The sequence below is a fragment of the Homo sapiens genome, chromosome 20 (genome assembly GCF_000001405.40).
Source record: "Homo sapiens chromosome 20, GRCh38.p14 Primary Assembly".
NCBI classification, from domain to species: domain Eukaryota; kingdom Metazoa; phylum Chordata; class Mammalia; order Primates; family Hominidae; genus Homo; species Homo sapiens.
In genome coordinates, this window is record NC_000020.11 from 37,372,310 (window position 1) to 37,392,706 (window position 20,397).

The window sequence follows — 20,397 nt, forward strand, 5'->3', positions numbered from 1 at the left end:
GGATTTTACAGCTAGAAATTTCCCTTTAAGTTCTCTTTTACCACATCCATATATTTGGATATGTTGTATCTTCATTTTCTTTCATCTCAAAGTATTTTCTAAGCTTTTTGGTGATTTATTCTTTGACTCACTGGTAATTGAGGAGCGTGTTGTTTAGTTTTCACATATTTTAATTTTCCAAATTTCTTTCTGTTATTGATTTCTTACTTCATTCTATTGTGGTTGGAAACATACTTTGTATGATTTCACTCCTTTTAAATTTATTGAGGCTTGTTTTATGGTGTAGCATATGGTCTATCCTGGAGAATGTTCCATGTGCACTTGAGAAGAACGTGTATCTGCTGTTGTTGGGTGGCTGGTATGGTTTGAATTTGCATTTATCTTATGAGTGAGGTTGAGCATCTTGTCATATGTTTGCGAGCCATTTGTTTGCTTTTTCTGTAAACTATATGTTGTCATTTTTCTTATTTTATGGGAGCTTATTATATACATGCTAAGAAAAAAAAACACCCTTACCTATCATATGAGTTGCAATTATTTTTCTTTGTTTGTCCTTTGAACTTGTTTATGATGTCTATTGAGCCATATCAGATTTTTATGTAGATTGATTTATCATTTAAAAAATGGTTTCTAGGTCTTATGTCATGTTTAGGAATGCTTTCCCCATTCAGAGATATGAAAATTCATTATCTTTTCCCCTTTATGCATATATATACACATATATACACATATACACATATATACATATATACACACATATACACACATATATACATATATAAATACATATACACATATATGTACACACACATATGTACATATATACACATATGTACATATACACACATACACACATATATGTACACACATACACATGTATACATATATGTACATATCTACACACATGTACATACGTACACACATGCACATATGTACACACGCACACACATGTACATACGCACACACACACACACATATTACATATGTACACATGCACACATTACATATGTACACACATACACACATGTACACACACATATGTACATATATACACATACACATATATGTACATTATACACATATATGCGTATATATACGCATATATACGCATATATGCGTGTATATACGCATATATACGCATATATGCATATATACACACACACATACATATATATATTTTTTGTGGATATGAGGTTTCACCATGTTGTTCAGGCTGGTCTCAAACTCCTGGACTCAAACAACCCTCCTGCCTTGGCCCCCAAAGTGTTGGGATTACAGGCGTAAGCCACCACGCCCAGCTCTTCCCCTTTTTAGAGCTTTATTGTTTGAGTATTTTGTGGTTTAAATCTGATTGATTTGTAATTTATTGGCATATATAGTGAGATTGAGATCCAGCTTTGTTTTCTGATGGCAGATTGTTGGTCCTAGCTCCATCTTAAAAATCATCCACCTTTTTCTCACTGGTATAAACTGCCATCTTCATTATATAGTAAATTCCCATATGTTTCAGGACAACTTTTGGACTCTATTCTGTTCCCCTGATGTACTGATGTGCCAATAGCACACAGTTTTAATTACTGTGTCTTTATAGTAAGGTTTACTGTCTGGTTGGGCTGTTTCTCCCTCATTAGTCTTCTTTTTAGGAGTTCTCTGGCTACTCTTATTCATATGTTTTTACTTACAAATTTAGAAATTGACTTGCCTAGTTAAAAAAAACTTGGGTTTTTTTTTAATTGGGATCACATTGAACTTCTAGATTGATTTATGAATAATTTTTTTTTTTTTTTTTAGATAGAGTCTTGCTCTGTTGCCCAGGCTGGAGTGCAGTGGCATTATCTCGGCTCACTGCAACCTCTGCCTCCCAGGTTCAAGCGATTCTTCTGCCTCAGCCTCCCGAGTAGCTAGGACTACAGGTGCCTGCCACCACACACTGCTAATTTTTGTATTTATAGTAGAGACGGGGTTTCACCATATTGGCCAGGCTGGTCTTGAACTCCTGACCTCATGATCTCCCCACCTCGGCCTTCCAAAGTGCTGGGATTACAGGTGTGAGCCACTGCCCCTGGCTGATATTTTAATAATGCTAAGCTTTCTTTCATTTTATTTTCTAATTGCAATTGGTATATATACACATAATTGATTTGGGAATGTTAACTTAATTCCCTGCCACTTTACTTAATTTGCTTTTGGTTTAATAGTTTTGCAGTAGATTCTCTTGGATTTCCCAGACTTATACCTATACCAAATACTATAATAATACTCTTTTTTTTTTTTTTTTTTTTTGAGACAGAGTCTTGCTCTGTTGCCCAGGCTGGAGTACAGTAGCGTAATCTTGGCTCACTGCAACCTCCACCTCCCAGGTTTAAGCGACTCTCATGTCTCAGCCTCCAGAGCAGCTTGGATTACAGGCATGTGCCACCACACCTGGCTTATTTTTGTACTTTTAATACAGATGGGGTTTCGCCATGTTGTCTAGGCTGATCTTGAACTCCTGACCTCAGGTGATCCACCCGCCTCTGCCTCCCAAAATGTTGGGATTACAGGTGTGAGCCACCACACCTGGCCAATAATAATACTCTTACCTTCTCTTTTCTAATTCCATTTATTCTTCAATTTCTTTTTCTATTCTTTTTTTTTTTGAGACAGAGTCTCACTTTGTCACCCAGGCTGGAGTGTAGTGCCATGATCTCCACTCACTGCAACCTCTGCCTCCTGGGTTCAAGTGATTCTCCTGCCTCAGCCTCTCGAGTAGCTGGGATTACAGGTGCCTGCCACCATGCCTGACTAATTTTTGTATTTTTAGTAGAGACGAGGTTTCACCATGTTGGCCAGGCTGATCTCGAACTCCTGACCTCAGGTGATCCACCTGCCTTGGCCTCCCAAAGTGCTGGGATTACAGGCATGAGCCACCGCACCTGGCCTCTTTCCTTTTTTTTTTTTGAGACAGAGTCTCACTCTGTTGCTCAGGCTGGAGTGCAGTGCTGTGATAATGGCTCACTGCAGCCTCAACCTTCCAGACTCAAGTGATTCTCTCACTTCAGCCTCCTGCGTAGCTGGGTCTACAGGTGCACACCATCATGCCTGGCTAATTTCTTTTGTGTATTTTTGGTAGAAATGGGGTTTCACCATGTTGCCCAGGCTAGTCTGAAACTCCTCAGGCTCACGTGATCCTCCTGCCTCTGCCTCACAAGGTATTGGGATTACATGCATGAGCCAACACACCTGGCCAAATTTTTGTGTTTTTTTTTAGAGATGGTGTTTTACCATGTTGCCCTGGAAAGTATGAAACTCACGGGCTCCAGCAGTCCGTCTGCCTCAGCCTCCCAAAGTGCTGGGATTACAGGTGTGAGCCACCACACCCAACCCTCTTTTTCTAAGCTAATTGTATTGGCAAGTATCTTAGAGTGGGGTTAACTGGTGGACATGTATCTTAGTTCATTCAGGCTGCTGTAACAAAATACCATAGACTGGGCAGCTTAAACCATGAACATTTATTTCTCACAGCTCTGAAGGCTGGAGAGTCCAATATCAAGGTGGCAGCAGATTCAGTGTCTGATGAGGACTCTCTTCCTGGTTTGCAAACGGCCACCTTCTTAATGTGTCCTCACATGGCAGAGAGAGACAGGGCTCTGGTTTCCTCCTCTTCTCATAAGGGCACTAATCCCGTCATAAGGACTCCATCCTTATGACTTATGTAAACCTAATCACCTCCCAAGGCCCACCTCCAAACACCACCACACTGGGGATTAGGGCTTCAACATGTGAATCTGGGGTGGGGGATGCACATTCAGTCCATAGTGATATCCTTGTCTTTTCTGGGTTCTTTCCCTGTAAAGGGGCTTTTGTAGGCCTTGGCTCCTAATCAACTCCACCAGACAACACCCCTCAGGACCATGCACAGGGCATGGCACATGTAGTAGGCATTTTGGAGGCTTTTGCCTAACTGTCAAAGTGACTGCAAAAGAGGGCAAGTGTCTGAACAAGGTCTTCCACAGAAATCATAATAATAGCCAATTAGATATTGAGCACTTTCTATGTGCCAGGCACTTTACAAATATGACATCACGCTTCCTCACAATGAACCCCACATTATGTAGGAACAATCACACCAATTCCCATTTCCCAAGGCTGCATGGTTAGGAAGTTGCAAGCTGGCATCTGAACCTGGCATTCTGGCCCCGGGCCACCTGTATATATATATACATATTTTGGAGATGGAGTTTTGCTCTTGTTGCCCAGGCTGGAGTGCAATGGCACAATGTCTGCTCACTGTAACCTCCACCACCCGGGTTCAAGTGATTCTCCTACCTCAGCCTATCAAGTAGCTGGGATTACAGGCATGCGCCACCATGCCCAGCTAATTTTGTATTTCTAGTAGAGATGGGGTTTCACCATGTTGGCCAGGCTGGTCTCTAACTCCTGACCTCAGGTGATCCACCTGCCTCAGCCTCCCAAAGTGCTGGAATTACAGGCATGAGCCATTGTGCCCGGCCCCACCTGTAGTTTTTGACTGCTCTGTGATGCTTCTGCTTCCCTGGAGGGTCTAAGATGTGGGCGATGAGATCATAGGTTGCCCTCTGACCCCTGTGTTGCTTTGGACCATGGGGTCATTGGCACAGTGGGCGGGGTACCAGAGGTAGGTTCTGACACTGCTCTCCTGAACCGTGAGCATCCCAGCTCTGCTGCACTCACTTGCTGTGTGGCCTTGGACAAGGTTTTAGTTTCTCTGAACCTTGATCCCATCTGTAAAGTGGGTGCAGTTACAGTCCCTGCGTCACTGTGCTGTTGGGTCAATTAAGAACCAACTGTGTGTAAAGCGCCCAGCCTTGTGCTTGGCATTCAAGGCCCTGCCACTGCCTCCTCTTATTCCCTGGAATGATAATAACAACAGTAAACAACATTGTGTGCTGTTTGTCATGCACTTATTCTTTTCCTGCCACAAGGACTCTCACTCGTACTTTTCAGTTGTTAGGTTTCTATCCCCATTTTAAAGGGGAGGAAACTCACAGGCAAAGTGACTTGCACAAGAAAATGTAGCTACTAAGAAGTGCAGCCAGGACTCGAACCCAGGTTTGACTGGAGTCCTCACTCTCAGCTCCTAAGCTCCTGGCCTACTCTCCACCCTTAGAAGAGGTGAGATGATGTTCTTCAGAGTCAGGAAGGAAGGGGCTGGTGTGTGGTGGCTGAACAGCAGTGTGACCTGAGCATCTGTGAGCCAGGAGGTGAGAGAGAGTGTGTGGCACCCTGTGGTTGGGTAGATCATTGTGGGAGGATGGGACACGCCGTGGGAGCATGGGACACACCATGGGAGACGGCAGCACCACCAGCTGCAGGGCCATGTGGACCCAGGTGATGGCTTTAGGCCTCATCCACAGGCTTATGATGGGAAGCTCTTGAATATTTTTTAAAAATTGTCACTTTAGAAAATCATGACAAAGTCATTTCTAAATGTCAACTGATACAGGGTGTAAAGTGAAAAAGGGATTTTCCTCTCCCCATCCCACACTTTTGAGATGAAACATTGTGATGAATTTGGAATCCTTCCAGAGCTTTCTTTTTTTAAAGTTTTTTTAATTTTTAATTTTTATGGGCACATAGTAGGTGTATATATTTATGGGGTACATGAGATATCTTGACACAGGCATACATTGTGTAATAATCACATCAGGGTAAGTAGGGTATCCGTCACCTCAGTTATCATTCCTTTGTGTTACAAACAATCCAATTCTACTCTTTTAGTTTTTTTTAAAATTATTATTATTATTTTATTTTTATTTTTTTTGAGACATGGTCTCACTGTGTTGCTCAGGCAGAGTGCATGTGTGTGTGTGCAATTTCCTTTCTTTCTTCTCTTTTTTTTTTTTTTTTTTTGAGACAGGGTCTCGTTCTGTCATCCAGGCTGGAGTGCAGTGGCGCGATGATAGCTCACTGCAGCCTCAAACTCCAGGGCTCAAGTGATCCCCCCACCTCAGCCTTCCAAGTAGCTGGGACTACAGGCTAATTTTTAATCTTCTATAGAGATACAGTCTCACTATGTTGCCCAGGCTCAATCTTCTTTACAGAGATAATAGCAGCTCATGTTTGCTACAGGTCCAGTACCACATTAAGCCCACTGCCTGCATTATCATGTTTGATTGCTCACAACCCTATTATGTGGGTAGCATCGTCCCCATTTTCCAGAGGAGGAAACTGAGGCCCTAATATGCCCAGAGGAGATTCTACCCTGCCGCTGCCTTCTTTTCACTGAAACAGTGTGTTGGGGTCTCTTATCAGGCCACTCTCAGCTCTCATTCTTTGTAATGGCTGCACTGCTGTCCACTTGAGGACTGGAGCCCCTTTATTTAACCAGCCCCTCTCTGAGGAACACGTAGGTTGTTAATGGCTTTCTGTGGAGAGTTTTAAGCGGAGGAGGCCCAGTTGTCTGTGAGGTTTACAGAGCCGCCTCTGGCTGCGGGGGGAGGGTGGACTGGAGGGGCCCACACTGCTGTGTCCAGGCCTAGGATCACAGGGCCCTGGCCTGAAGGACTGGAGATAGACAGGGTGGAGGGGAGGAATGCGCTTGAGGAAGATTCAGGAACTACCCCGGGGCTCCCCAAGGGCAGAGCCCCACACAGGGCTTGGCACGTGGCAGGTGCTCTGCGAATACCTGGAGAATGACTGGGGTGGGATGTGCAGGGGTTGTCGCTGAGTCAGTGATGGGGATGGGGGTGGGGGGGAGATGCAGGCTTAGCGGGAGGTACTAGGCCACTTGGGGACCTGCTGAGCTCAAGGCACTGGGAACGCCGAGGGAAAAGTTCTTATAGCAGCAACTCGGCACCTCTCGAGGGAGCGAGCCATAGTGCAGGCCCCCTGTCTGCTGAGGAGTCCAGAGCCCACGGTGAGGAGTGGCTTCCCGAAGGAAAGGGGCCACCTTTCCCTGGGAACCTCAGGCAGCCCCATTGTGGGGCCCCCACTGCTTCCCCTTGACCCCCGCAAGGGTCTATCTCTACCTTGGAGGCTGCAAGTGGCGGAAGAGATGAGGGGGGTTGGCCCCTCTCCAAGGAGCAACTCATGGTGACTCGGCAGTTGGGCCCCAGAACCAGGAAGTGCAAGGATAGAGCTCTGTGCCAGGGAGGAGGGTGGTCTCTCATGAGGTCCCACGGCATGGAAGCAGCCCTCCGAGACTAACTCCCACCCTCACTGAGTCATCGAGTGAAGAGCCGTGTAGCTTTCGAGACCAGCCCAGCCGACATGGTGGAACCCCGTGTCTACTAAAAATACCAGAATTAGCCGGGAGTGGTGGCACTCACCTGTAATCCCAGCTACTCAGGAGGCTGAGGCAGTAGAATTGCTTGAACCTGGGAGGCGAAGGGTGCAGTGAGCCGAGATCACACCATTGCACTCCAGCCTGGGCGACAGAGGAGACTCTGTCTCAAAAAAAAAAAATAATAATAATAATTAGCCAGGCGTGGTATTCGGTGACTGTAATCCCAGCTACTTGGGAGGCTGAGGCAGGAGAACCGCTGGAACCCGGGAGGCGGAGGTTGCAGTGAGCCGAGATCGCGCCACTGCACTCCAGCCTGGGCAATAGAGTGAGACTCCATTTCAAAAAAAAAAAAAAAAGGAAAAGAAAAAGAACGAGAGAGCTTGGAGTAAAAAAAAAAAAAAAAAAAAAAAAAGGAAAAGAAAAAAGAAAAAGACCGAGAGAGCTTGGAGTGGCCTGAGAAGATGCTCTGAACACACTAACACATAAAGTGAAAAGAGGGAGGCGGCAGTGTAGAATCTCCTCTGGGTATCTCAGGGCCTCAGTTTCCTCATCTGGAAAGTGGGGGCCACAGTGCTACCCGCATGACCCTCAGTGGGCCATTCTTGCTCAAGGACGTTCTGCTCGGAGCTTTCTCAGGCTTTCTCTGGGAGTGGGGTGGGCTGCTTTATCCTCTCACCCCTCTTCCAAGGCCATCTGGCTGCTTTGTGAGAGAGATCCCTGGGGGTAGGAGGTGGGGCCTGTGAGTTTCAGCCCCTGATTCCCACCTGCCCAGTGTGGTGGCCCCTTTTCACTCTCACCCATGCTGTGTGACTTCAGGCAAGTTCTTCAACCTCTCTGTGTCTTAATGTCCTCAACAGTAAGATAAAGACATGATTAGTATTTACCTCCTAGATTATCATGAGGAGCCGATGAGTCAATGTTTGCAAAGTACTTAGAGCAAGGTCCAATTCAAGGTCTGAGCTCTGGGAGTATTTGAATACCACGGAATGATATTTAGTCTTTTCAGTGTGGCATTGCAGGAACAAAGTAGGATGCAAATTATACATCCATGCCCATTTAGTCTTTTGTCTATTCTGCAAATAGTTCCAGAGCACCTAGTGGGTGTCAGGCCCGTCCTGGTCTCTGGGGGCATGGAGATGGATCCTGCCTGGCCCTGACAGCCGCGAGTGCACAGTGGAGGGCACTGGGTGGACCCCAGTTTGTTGACCGTCTTGCGTTGCTGTGACGCTGGAAGGAAACGCACCACCACACCCAGGTGTTTGTCTTCTAGGGGCAGAATTATGGGGCATTTTCTTTTATTTTTTCTTTTCTTTTTTTTTAATCTTCTTGTAGTTCTCAAAGAGTCCACTCTGAATGATAAAAGTTACCATTTACGGAGGCCTGGTAACGTTCCGTGCCATCCTGAGCATGTTCCGTGTACTTTTCTCACGGATTCTCCCAGCAGTCCTGACACGGGTGTTATTCCCGATCGATAGAGAGGAAAACTGAGGCGAAGGGCGGCCGGCCAGGATTCAAACCAGGGAGTCTGCTCCAGCACTCCGGCTCTTAACCTCAACCGTCTGCCTCTCCACAAACACCAGGATCAACCACCAAGACCAAAAAAACAGTCTCACAAACCATCAAACATTGCACTTGGTGGCTCAGGACCTTAGCTTCGTCTTAAAGGTCCCTGTTATGCTTTTTCTGAGTGCCCCAGTGTGGAGTGGTCTTCGTGTTTGTGAGTGCAGGGGTCAGGGGTTGTGTCTTTTCTTCTTGTCCCCTTCCAAGAGGTGACATGTATCCTTGATACTGGAAGGGCCCTTAAGGTCTAGCCCTGGCTCTCTGTCTCCCTTCATGGCACATCAGCCAAGTACCCATTCTCCCGTCTTTGATTACCTCCAGTGACAGGGAGCTCACTCCTCAACATTTATTTTATTCTAAAGAAAATTCAGGCTCTTAGATAGTTCTTCCTCCATAAAAATTTTTTAAAAAAATTTTTACTTCCTCTTAAAGTCTCATAAACAAGTCCCCTGCTTTGGGGTCCTGAGGCAGGACCTGGCTAATTCGTCTCTATGTCCCCCTATAGTGAGGAGCACAGGGCCTGCTAGTAGGTACTATAAATGCTGCACCAGGAAGCAAGTGGCTAGGGGGCGGGCTGGTTGGGCCCCCATCAATCCTTGGGCTGCAGGTAACCAGGTCAGCAGTTCTTGTGGGACACCAGCTGGGTGAGTGCTGATGGGTATCGTGACCTCAATGGAATAGGTTGCCATAGAAACTGACTTTGGACCTGTCCCCAGGTCCATTGACTTGTCCCTCAGGAGACCATGGTAATCCCTTGAGCTCTTCAGCAGGTCTCCCCAGGGCCTCCCCAACCCCACATTCTCTGAGCTGGGTGGTCCCCAGGGAGCATGCAAACCATACCCCCATTGTGCAGCTGGGTAGCCTGAGGCCCCAGGGGCACAGGGGACAGGCTGAAATTCACACAGGCAGGGGGCGTCTCATAGCTGGGCTGGGCGCTCAGGGCAAACAGCCTTGCCCGAGGACCCAGCCAGTCAGGGGGCCTTTTCCCCACTCATGGGTTCTCAGAGGAAATTCTGGACCGATTCCCAGGCCTTCTGCCTCCCCAAAGAATAATCGGAACCTGCCTCCCTGGTGTGTCCAGAATTACACAATATCAATAACGGCTGAGGTGACCTGTGATGCCCCTAGCACCCTACAGTGTCTTGTGCATTTATCACAATGACCCCATCGTTACAGATGAGGAAACGGCACAGAGAGAAGTTAAGTCACATGCCTAAGGTTACACAGCTATTTAGGGGTAGAGCCAGGATCTGGATGTGGAGAGCCCAGCTCCAGAGCCCACTCTCACCACCATGCCATACCCTGTCTCGCTCTTGCTTTGAGAGGGTTGAAAAGACTTTGGGAGGGTTGAAGGATATTTCAGGTCTAGGAGGCTCTTAGCACGGGCCTGCTAGAGCCATAGCCTGATGAACAGTGATCAGAGAGTGGGCGCCATTATGATTTCTCTTTCTAATGACATCCTCAAAACAGTGCTGAGATGTCTGCTTTATCCCTGCTTTGCAGATGAGGACGCTGAGGCCCAGAGAGGGAAAGCCACTTGCCTAGGGACACACAGCGGGGAGAGGTGGAGCAGGGCCTCTATTTCGAGACCCCTGACTCCACACCTGGTGTTTGTGCCAAGACCCCAGGCTGCCTCCCAGGTCCTCTGGGACAGCCCCTGCCTTCTACCAGGTGAGATGATGGCCCTATCAGGGCTCAAGATGGGTGGGGAGATCCCAGCGAATCTGGGTGGGAGCTGGGACCAGCCAGGGCCTGCGGATGGGGAAATGGGAGGCAGAGGGTGGTGGCAGGACTGTGGGCGTCAGGGGGAGTTTTCAACTTGGTTTACTCTGTGTTTCCGTCTCTCTGGACCTCCCAGGTTTCTGGCTCTGAAGTCCCTTAGCTCTTAAATAGTCACTCATTCGTTCAGCTGTTTACTGAGCACCTACTGTGTGCCACACCCCATGCTAGGCACTGGGAGCACAGCAGTGAACAAGATGAACAAAAGCCCACGACAGTAGTCACATAACCACATGAATTCAAACAACAAAAACAAAACAGGACCACATGTTATCAAAGACAGACACAAGTCAGGGGGACCCAGTGAAAGGATTTGGGGAACACTTCCCAAGGAGGGGACTTTTGAGTTGAGAACGGAAGGAGGCACCAGTCACCCTGGTGAAGTGGCCAGGGAACAGCATTTGGGCAGTGGGAATGGTATGTGTGAAGGCCCTGTGGCTGGAGTGAGCTCCCAGCCATCTCTGCTTCAAACCTCCTGCTGTATGGCCTTGGCTGCCACTTTTAGCACCTTTCCCCAGCGTTAGGCAATTCCCGTCAGCCACGTATTCATTCAACAAACCCTCAATGAGCCCCCTCCATGTGCTAGGTGCCCGGGACATAGGCGTGGCTCAGATACTGTCCCTGCCAGGAGGGAGGGAAACAGTGACTCAGGGGGAGGTGGGTGGGTAAGGTCAGGGCTTCTGATTATGAGGCATTTCTTCCGTTCCTGGCGCTGGACCGAGGAAGCCCTTTACGGATGGATGCCATCCTTACGCTCATTTTACAGATGAAGACATCGAGGTTTTGAGAGGCTAACTCTCCCAAAAAGGCTGGTGCCCCTGTCCCCCATTTTTTTCTTTTCTTTCTTTTTTTTTTGAGACAGAGTATTCCTCTGACGCCCAGGCTGGAGTGCAGTGGCAGGATCTGAGCTCACTGCAGCCTCTGCCTCCCCTGTTCAAGCGATTCTCCTGCCTCACCCTCCGGAGTAGCTGGGACTACAGGCGCGTGCCACCATGCCCGGCTAATTTTTTTTTTTTTTTCAAGTAGAGCCCGGGTTTCCGCGTGTTGGCCCGGCAGGTCTCAAACTCCTGATCTCAAGTGATCCGCCCGCTTCGGCCTCCCAAAGTGCTGGGATTACAGGCGTGAGCCACCGCGCCCGGCCCTGCTGCCTCTCCTTGGGCCTCGTTTTCCCTATCTGTGGAATGGGTGGGAGGGAGGCCGGCCAAGGGGCCCCGGCAGCCCTGCCTGTTCCAGTGTCTTCTCTCTCTCCTGCCAGGACCATGGGTAGCAACAAGAGCAAGCCCAAGGATGCCAGCCAGCGGCGCCGCAGCCTGGAGCCCGCCGAGAACGTGCACGGCGCTGGCGGGGGCGCTTTCCCCGCCTCGCAGACCCCCAGCAAGCCAGCCTCGGCCGACGGCCACCGCGGCCCCAGCGCGGCCTTCGCCCCCGCGGCCGCCGAGCCCAAGCTGTTCGGAGGCTTCAACTCCTCGGACACCGTCACCTCCCCGCAGAGGGCGGGCCCGCTGGCCGGTCAGTGCGCGGGCGGCGCGGGGTCCTCGCCCACCTGGGGCCACGGCGGGGAGGCGGCGGGGCTGTGTGCCCGGGGTCGCCCCCTCTGCGCAGGCCCTTCCTCTCGCCAGGGGTAGCGCCCCTGGGTGACTTGGGTGTCCGGGGGGTGGGGGGGCGGCCGTACACACTGTGAAGCGTCCGCGCCGCCGCCGCTGGCTTTGGGGTGGAGCAAGCGCAAAAGACACGGGGTGTGGTTAATGGGTTCTAATTGGACGCTTAAGCCCAAGAAGAAGAAGGGCGGCGCGGGACCGGGCCTGTTGCTGCCTTGGCGCCCAGTCCTTTTTCGTTGCCTGGGTCCGCCCAGAGATGAGTCGGGACGCGCGGCCCACGTGCGGCGGAGGGGCAGCTGGGTCGCTCGGGGAACGGGGCACCGGATGGCCCCGGTTGGGCCCGCGCCAGGATGCGCCCCTGCGCCCTCTGCTGGCGCTCTGCGGTCACCGCAGCCCCGGAGAGGGCCGTTTTGGAGAGCCGCGGCGGTGCCCCAGACACTCCACGCAGACTTCACTCCTTCACTCAGACCCGTTCACTCTCCCCACAGGCACACGCTGGGCCACACACACGGCTACACCCCCGCCAGGGACACGCACACATGCGGGGTGGAGGCAGGGTCACAGACACCCGCAGACACATCCCCAACGCAGATGTACCCAGATACAAACTCACATGCACAGGTGACCTCACACTTGTAGCTGAAGACACACGCACATGCCGTCAGAAGCGCATTCAGAGACACACGCTCAGCTGGAAATCACAATCTCACCATCGTGGCCGCCCAGGAGACAGATACACACAGGTGCATCGAGAACATGAGAACACTCAGAGACACACGGACAGGCGTGGACCCTTCAGACGCAGACGCACGCCCAAGCGAGAGAAACAGACCCACAGACACACCATTCATTTGTTCAATAAGTATATGTGGAGCTCCTACTACAGGCCAGGGCTCCTCTGCTGCCCGGGCCCCAGCGGTGCAGACAGAACCCACCTGGGGGAAGGAAGCAAAGGGCAGCTCGTGGAGGGTGTTAGAAGGGGCGCTGCTGCGAAGGCGCAAAACAGGCAGGGAGGGAGGGCTGGGGGATGTGAGGAGGTGGAGGCTGTAGCTTAAAATGGTGGAAGGGGGTACGGGGGCCTTTCTGAGGGGGCAGTTACTTGGAGCCAAATCTTCCTGGACACCAGGAGCGCCCAGAGTGACACACTTTATAGAGAGAGAGCGAGCCTCCTGGGGGAGTGTTCTTCATTCACCGCTTCCTTCAGCCTATAGCTCTTTCTTGAGCACCTACTATGTGCCTGGCTCTGGAAACAAAACAAAGATGCTGGTTATTGGCGACTTCTGCTCCTAGAGCAAGACAGGCACCAAACAGATAAGCCAGCACCCAGCACTGCCCAAAGCCCCGGGGACGGACGCGGACAGGAAGGGATGCTCCCGCTCCCACACGCCCTTGCAGGGATGCGCAGATACACGGATGCAGTGGACACGTGCACAGGCCCATCTTCACTGAACCTGACTGTGTCTTTGGGCTGAGCACTTGCGTGTGGGAGACAAATCCACTCCTCCTGGGTACAGGGCCATCCTGCCCATGCCTTCCCTGGCTGTGGCCCCACTGTTCTGACACACCCCACCCCTCTCTGCAGGTGGAGTGACCACCTTTGTGGCCCTCTATGACTATGAGTCTAGGACGGAGACAGACCTGTCCTTCAAGAAAGGCGAGCGGCTCCAGATTGTCAACAACACGTGAGTGCCCCCTTCCCTATTGCCCCTCAGGGCTGGGTGGTGGGACTTCAAAGCGGGCAGGGGCTCATGCAGGATCTGGCATCAGGGCAGCACAGTGCAGAGCCCAGGGCAGTGCGAAGCCCAGGGCAGTGTGGAGGCAGGCGCCTGCTGCACTCTCGCCCTGGGCAGCACCTGCTGTTGCTCCCCCAGCCATGGGGAACTCCTCCCAATCCCTGGCTCTCGCTTGCTCCCTCCAGCCCTCTCTCAGCTTCTCCCTCTCTCTGCTTCTCTCTCGCTGGCCCTTAGGAGGAAGGTGGATGTCAGGTGTGTACATGCTCCGTGGGCGGCGGGCTGGGCGGGGTGCTTCGCGGGGGGTGGGGGCTGCTGTCTGCATGTGCTTCCACTCCCTGCCTGTGATCTCTGGCTCTCTTGGCTGCTCCTCACCTCCCAGCTTCTCCCCTCCCCCCTCCACCAATTTGATTAGGTCCTGGACCTTAACGCAGGCTGCGATCAGGGGCCCTTCCATTGCACTCTCCTGCACATCTCCTCCCCATCCACCTTCCTACTCACTCACCCTCCCATTCTGCCCCGTCAGCCCACCCAAGTATCTGCTGCATGCAGGACCCAGTGCTGTGATGGGGATAGCCTGGGTGGAGAAGGCCTTGGCCACGTCCCCCTGGAGCCAGCATGTGGCCAGGGAGACAGCACATGGCCCCAGCCCAGGCCAAGAGTCAGGCAGTGGGCGAGCCCAGAGTCGGCTCCTGGAGCCCCTGCTGTGGACCTGCCTCCGGTGATGACCACAGGGACTGAGAGGGTCAAGGGCCTCGAAGGAAAGCCAGTGAAGTTATCTGGCAGGTGGAGGTGGTGGAAGGGCAGCTTGCGGGAGGGTGCCGGACTGGAGGGGGCTGACGCCTTCACGGGTGTGGAAGGCAGGAAGGTTCTAGAAGGCAGAGGAGAATCGATCCCTGGGTGTCCTCGAAGGCCTGGCTAAGGAAGTTGGGGGTTTCCACTGCCCCGAGCGTGTCTGGCTTGCTCATGCCCCACTTGCCTTGCGCATGCTCTTCCCTTTGCCTGAAATGCCCTTTCTCCAGTGTCTGCCTGGGGAACTCCTGTTCATCGCTCAAGATCAGTGCAGGACTGCCTTCTCAGAGGGGCAAAGGGGAACAGAGGTGCCAGTTGCCATGCCAGTCGTCTCCACCTGTGTCCTTGTATTGACTCCTCTCTGCAGTCTAGCCAGGGCTGAAGTGATCGGGGAGGGGGCTGTCTCCATTTTGCAGATGAGGAAACTGAGGCTCAGCGATGTGAAGGCCCTTGTCCAAGGTCACACAGCTGCCAAGTAGCAAAGCCAGGATTGGAACCGAAGCAGCAACTTTCTGCCCTCCTCAACCTGCTCTTGGCGGGGGGGTGGGAGGGGGGGCTCTCCCGGCTCCGCCTCCCCCCTTGCATGGCCGAGTCCTGGTGCGAAGCTACAGTTTCCTTATTGTCACCAGCTGTTTGTGTCTGCTTCCCCCCTAAACTGGGAGCTGCTGGAGGGTGGCTCTCTGGTGCACCTCACTTCTGGGTCCCCATAGCACCTGTAACTCAGCACAGTGGCGGGTGCCCAGCAGGTGATGGTGAACAGGATGAATGAACAGCAGTGACAATGTCACCATTTCTTGTGCTCTCTGTGTGAGCTGGGCCCTGTGCTGAGTGCTTGAAGTTGCGTTATTTTATTTACGCATCACCATAGCCTCGAGAAATGGGAAGTCTTACTTGCACCATTTTACAGATGAGGAAACTGAGGCCCAAAGAGGTGAAATAACTTACCCAAGGTCACATGGCTAGTAGTGGCAGAGCTGGAAGACTAGGCTGGCCCTCCGACCCATGATCCTTTCAGGAAGGCTCAGTGGAGGTGCAGCAGAGGCCACAGGAGGGAGAGGCCCGTGCAGGGGAGGGGCGTCAGCAGGATGGCTCTGAAGTCCTGGTGGAGTCTCTACCAAGCGTCTCAGACTGGGGTGACAGCTGGGGCAGAGCTGTGGAGGCAGGAAGGGCTGGGAGAACTTTGGTTCTGCCTTTTTCACCTGGATTCAGAGAGTAGCCCCATGCTTGCCTTTTTCCAGCCCTTTCCCTCCACTCTTCTTGTCTTCCAGGGAGGGTGGGCTGGGGGAGGTTTGGCCAGGAGGCTGGGGCTGCCAGGAGGCCTGGAAGTGATGGAATCTCATTCAGGGAAGACCCTGGGGTAGCTGATTGGGAGATGGGGGTGGGTGGATTGGGAGCCCCTCCTCATGTCACAATGCTCCAATGCTCCTTCGCTTAGACGTCAGAGATGGTGGCTGAGCGCGGTGGCTCACGCCTGTAATCCCAGCACTTTGGGAGGCTGAGGCAGGAGGATCGCTTGAACCCAGAAGTTTGAGACCAGCCTGGGAAACATAGGGAGACCTGGCCTCTACAAAATATAAAAATAAATTAGCTAGGTGTGGTGGCGCATGCCAGTGGTCCCAGCTACTCAGGAGGCTGAGGCAGGAGGATCGCTGGAACCAGGAGTTGAAGGCTGCAGTGAGCCATGATCGTGCTACTGCACTCCAGCCTGGGTGACAGAGCAAGACTCTGTCTCAAAAAAAAGAAGTGAAGGAGGGAGGTGTAGGTGGGGGGCTGGTATTAGTAGAAGAGGAGAGGGAAAGGGATTTGGGGGGCGGGGCTTGGTAGGAGATGGGCCACCGGAATTTAAGGTGTTTGAGTCTCACACCTCATCCCGGGGACCCGCCTGCATGCACGTCCTTCCTCCATCAGTGCTCAGGGCCTATTACTGTGCAGTGCCTCCCCCACCCTGTAAGAGTGGGGGGCTTTCTGAATCTAGCATGGGGCCCAGGCACGTGTGGAGGCTGGGCTGGCTGTCAGGGCAGTAGAGAGCTAGAGGAGGAACCCGTCTGTGGATGGGGTCTGGCCAAGTGGGGGTCCTCGCAGTAGCAGACCCAGAGATCCCGCGCCATGGATCTTGCTGCCACATGGCCCTGGGTCCTGGTATTCTGGGTATTGTGTGGCCCTGGGTGTGAGGAAGCCCTCTGGGGCTGAGGTCTGACTGCCTCAAGCTCCCTCATCTGACATCCTAGTCTCAGGAGTCAGGGCCCCTCCTGGGTCTGACTCTGGGTTGCTCCCTGAACTGCCCCTTCCTCCCACCCAAATTCCAGGAGCTTCTTTTGGGAGTTTTCTGGCAGGCGCTTCTGGGCAACAGCGCCTCAGCTGGCCTCTGCCTCCTTGCCCCCGGCATGGCGGCAGGGGGCACCTCGGGAGTCTAGAGCCTCGGGGTCCTGCCTTCATGCTCTCCTCCAGAGACCTGTGCTGGCTTCACCCCTGCCTCGCTCCTCCCTCACCCCACAGACCATGTGCTCCAGGTCTTGGGGCTTGGCAATTGACCTCCTGGCCACTGCCCACCTGGCCAGCCTCAGCTGTGGTGCACCAGCTCAGCGGCCATCCCCAGAGTGCCCTCCCAACCAGTCCCAGCAGCCCAAGGGAGCGAATGTCAGTGCCCACGCTGGCACATGTCCCAGGTTCCAAAGCTGCCGTGCCCCTGAGCCACACGCCACCCTGGCTGGCCCCAAGGATTAGGGCCCCAAAAGAGGATCCTGAGGCTCAGAGAGGTGAACTCAGTTGCTTGAGGTCACACAGCTGGTGACCAGCAGTTGTGAAAAATCATGGCTCTGGGACTCTTGGCCCTTCTTCTAGCCATGGGTGGGAAGGCTTCCCTTCCTTCCCTGCTTGCTGCCCACCTGATGAGGACCAGGCCCGGGGGAAGGTGCTGGATGCCGTAGAATTCCTCTCCCTGATGGCTTGATGCTGCTGTGACTGGTGACCGCAGCCACCGGAGGCAGCTTTGAGCCTCCCAAGCCCTTGACATGGGAAGATGGGGATTGATATCTCCATTTCACAGGTGGGCAAACTGAGGCTCAGATGATCATCACAGTCGTCATCTCAGTTTACTCTGAGCCCAGCATGACGCTCACTGTTTACACACTTTGCCTGCAAGGGAGATTCTGTGAATGTTGTCTGCTTTTTACATATGAGGAAACTAAGACTCAGAGAGGGCAGGGTACTTGCCCAAGATCACACAGCAAATCCTTGTTGGAGACTGGGACTGTGCTGCTTTGGTTTTTAAAAAGGGTCACTGTGGAAATACCAATTTAGTTGTTTTTATTTTTATTTTTTAGCTAAATCCAGATCTAACAGCTGATGCATGTTGTGCTGGGCTCTGATCTGGCTTTTTTTTTTTTTTTTTTTTTTTTTTTGAGACCGGATCTTGCTCTGTGGCCCAGGCTGGAGTGCAGTGGTGCGATCTTGGCTTACTGCAATCTCTACCTTCTGGGTTCAAGTGATTCTCCTGCCTCAGCTTCCCAGCTTCCCAAGTAGCTGAGATTACAGGCACGCACCACCATGCCCAGCTAATTTTTATATTTTTATTAGAGACGGGGTTTCGCCATGTTGCTGGGCTGGTCTCGAACTCCTGACCTCAAGAGATCCATCCACCTTGGCCTCCCGAAGTGTTGGGATCACAGGCGTGAGCCACCGTGCGCTGTCTGTTCTGGCATTTGATATCCTGGGAGGGAGACATGCTGACCCTGCAGATGAGGAAACTGAGACTGGCGAGTGTGGTATGGAGGGGCCAAGGTCAGACAGCCAGCAAGTGGTGAGCTGGGATGGTGTCTAGGGCAGTGCAGCACTGGAGCCCATTCCCTCAGACCCCTCTAAATCAGGGGCCAGGCTGAGACTGGATCTTGGGTCCTTCAGTAAAATTGGAGTGCATCTCATCTCTCTCCCTGCCCCTTGTGAAATGAAACCTCCAGACTAGACCATGAAACCCCAGGCTCACAGGTGGGCTGACTCTGGGGAGCTGGGAGCCCTGCTCGCTGAAGTCGGGTAGCATCGGCTGCACTCCTCTCGCTCTTGGGCCCTGCTTGGCTGGCCTCCGAGCACAGGCCTCCTGCCAGCCTTCCACTCTGGGTGGCTGGAGACTCCCCAGAGGCCGGCCAGCCTGCGGACTGCAGCTTTGTCAAACGGCCTCAATTTTTAGCGTCTGGTCTTAGACCTTGGCCCCTTCCCGCTGTGGCCTGTCCTCTGACCCCGCCCTGCAGCCTCCTCTTTCATCTGCCACAGGCTTTCCCAAAGGTCTCAGCCTCTCTGGGGCCTGGGGAGGCCCTACTGTGCCTGGCTGTGGACAGTCAGGGGCCCTGCTTCTCACTCTTGCTCTGCCATTGGTTGACCATGTGGCTTTGGGCAAATCACTGGCCTGTCTGTGTCTCATTTTCCCCCACTGGTAAATGGAGGCTTTGAACTGAAAGATCTCAGAGAGCTGTTTTCTGTGATTTGAGTCCTTGCTTTGTAGCTTTGGGCAAGTCGCTGCACCTCTCTGTCCCTCAGTTTCCCCAACTCTCTAAAGAAAGTGCTGGCCAGGCGCGGTGGCTCACTCCTGTAATCCCAGCACTTTGGGAGGCCGAGGTGGGCAGATCACTTGAGGTCAGGAGTTCGAGACCACCCTGGCCAACATGGTGAAACCCCGTCTCTACTAAAAATACAAAAATTAGCTGGGCATGGTGGGGCTTGCCTGTAATCCCAACTACTCAGGAGGCTGAGGCAGGAGAATCGCTTGAACCTGGGAGGTGAAGTTTGCAGTGAGCCGAGATCGCGCTGTTGCACTCCAGCCTGGGTGATAGAGCAAGACTCCATCTCAAAAAAATAAATAAATAAATAAAGTGCTGGGCTACTCTGACCTGGGTGCTGTGTGTCCCTGCGCTGATCGCTTGACATTTCTGAGCCAGTTTCTTCATCTGGGGCCTGGAGCCCTGCCTTCCTCCCTTGCAGGGTGGCCTTGGGGGTCAGTGGGAGAGACAAGTGTGGACACCCCGGGTGGGTGTACAACAAGGAGGTGGGTGGGGATTTGGGGCATCCAAAGGCTTCTTTTCTTGAGGTGGGTCTTGCCTCCTTACTCCCGGGCCCTCCCTCCAGTGACCCCATATGGCTTGCCCCCCTGCCCGAGTGTGTGTGTAGCCATCACAGAGCCAAGACAGGCCACACAGCCCCAGTCACACCCCCTTGCCTCACTCCATCAGGAGGGGACACAACACCCTCTGGCTCACTTCGAGCCATCCGGCTGAACCCCAGTGTCTCAGGTGCTCACCTGTCCTCCGACAGGTCCCTGGAGAGCTCCCCAAGCCCTGCTCCCTCCTGGCCTCAACTTCTCCATCTTCTATATGGGCTGAAGAATATGGCCAGGGGCAGCTCAGAAGAAGTGGGAGCCAGGGATCCAGGTTCATGTTCAGATTGTGTGACTGTAGGCAAGGGCCTTTCTCTCTCTGGGCCCTGGCGGTGGGTGGGGGCCACCCTGCCTGCCGTGTGTCTTCTCAGGGTCCTGGTGAAGTACAAAAGTGGCCTTGGATTGAGAAGAGCCCAGCAAGCTGTCAAGCCCTGCTGCAACCTGCAGGGGGTGCTCCTATCTGGGAGTCAGGAGCCTGGGCCTGGCTGTGTGACCTTGAGCAAAGAGGCCTTTGCTTCTCTGGCCTCAGTCTTCCCAGCTGTACAGTGG

General features: G+C 52.6%; 1 protein-coding gene across 21 annotated transcripts in view, besides 5 other annotated features; it reads left to right on the forward strand.

Moving 5' to 3' along the window:
* Positions 1 to 20,397, forward strand: part of SRC (SRC proto-oncogene, non-receptor tyrosine kinase) — a 61,352-nt gene that overhangs the window by 27,611 nt on the left and 13,344 nt on the right. For 6 of the 21 annotated variants that reach the window (XM_047440399.1, XM_047440400.1, XM_047440396.1 and 3 more), the window contains 4 exons: positions 10,310 to 10,477; positions 11,841 to 12,094; positions 13,766 to 13,865; positions 14,151 to 14,168. In XM_047440399.1, the coding sequence (XP_047296355.1) occupies positions 11,845 to 12,094; positions 13,766 to 13,865; positions 14,151 to 14,168 (368 nt within the window). In that variant the 5' untranslated portion in view covers positions 10,310 to 10,477; positions 11,841 to 11,844. Of the gene's footprint in view, positions 1 to 8,329; positions 8,502 to 10,309; positions 10,478 to 11,447; positions 12,095 to 13,765; positions 13,866 to 14,150; positions 14,169 to 20,397 lie in introns of all 21 variants that reach the window. The other 15 variants (XM_047440402.1, XM_047440401.1, XM_047440403.1 and 12 more) reach the window with 4 other exon arrangements.
* Positions 3,170 to 3,309: an enhancer, noted in NCBI's record as "active region_17842". NCBI's record gives its function as "activates an Ori minimal core promoter by ATAC-STARR-seq in GM12878 lymphoblastoid cells {active_cell/tissue: GM12878}" and the evidence as "EXISTENCE:reporter gene assay evidence [ECO:0000049][PMID:35858748]".
* Positions 4,913 to 5,022: an enhancer, noted in NCBI's record as "active region_17843". NCBI's record gives its function as "activates an Ori minimal core promoter by ATAC-STARR-seq in GM12878 lymphoblastoid cells {active_cell/tissue: GM12878}" and the evidence as "EXISTENCE:reporter gene assay evidence [ECO:0000049][PMID:35858748]".
* Positions 10,423 to 10,512: an enhancer, noted in NCBI's record as "active region_17844". NCBI's record gives its function as "activates an Ori minimal core promoter by ATAC-STARR-seq in GM12878 lymphoblastoid cells {active_cell/tissue: GM12878}" and the evidence as "EXISTENCE:reporter gene assay evidence [ECO:0000049][PMID:35858748]".
* Positions 12,368 to 12,657: a silencer, noted in NCBI's record as "silent region_12891". NCBI's record gives its function as "represses an Ori minimal core promoter by ATAC-STARR-seq in GM12878 lymphoblastoid cells {active_cell/tissue: GM12878}" and the evidence as "EXISTENCE:reporter gene assay evidence [ECO:0000049][PMID:35858748]".
* Positions 18,339 to 18,840: an enhancer, noted in NCBI's record as "H3K4me1 hESC enhancer chr20:36019051-36019552 (GRCh37/hg19 assembly coordinates)". NCBI's record gives its function as "activates a minimal SCP1, AML or CMV promoter by ChIP-STARR-seq in primed H9 embryonic stem cells {active_cell/tissue: H9 hESC(primed)}" and the evidence as "EXISTENCE:reporter gene assay evidence [ECO:0000049][PMID:30033119]".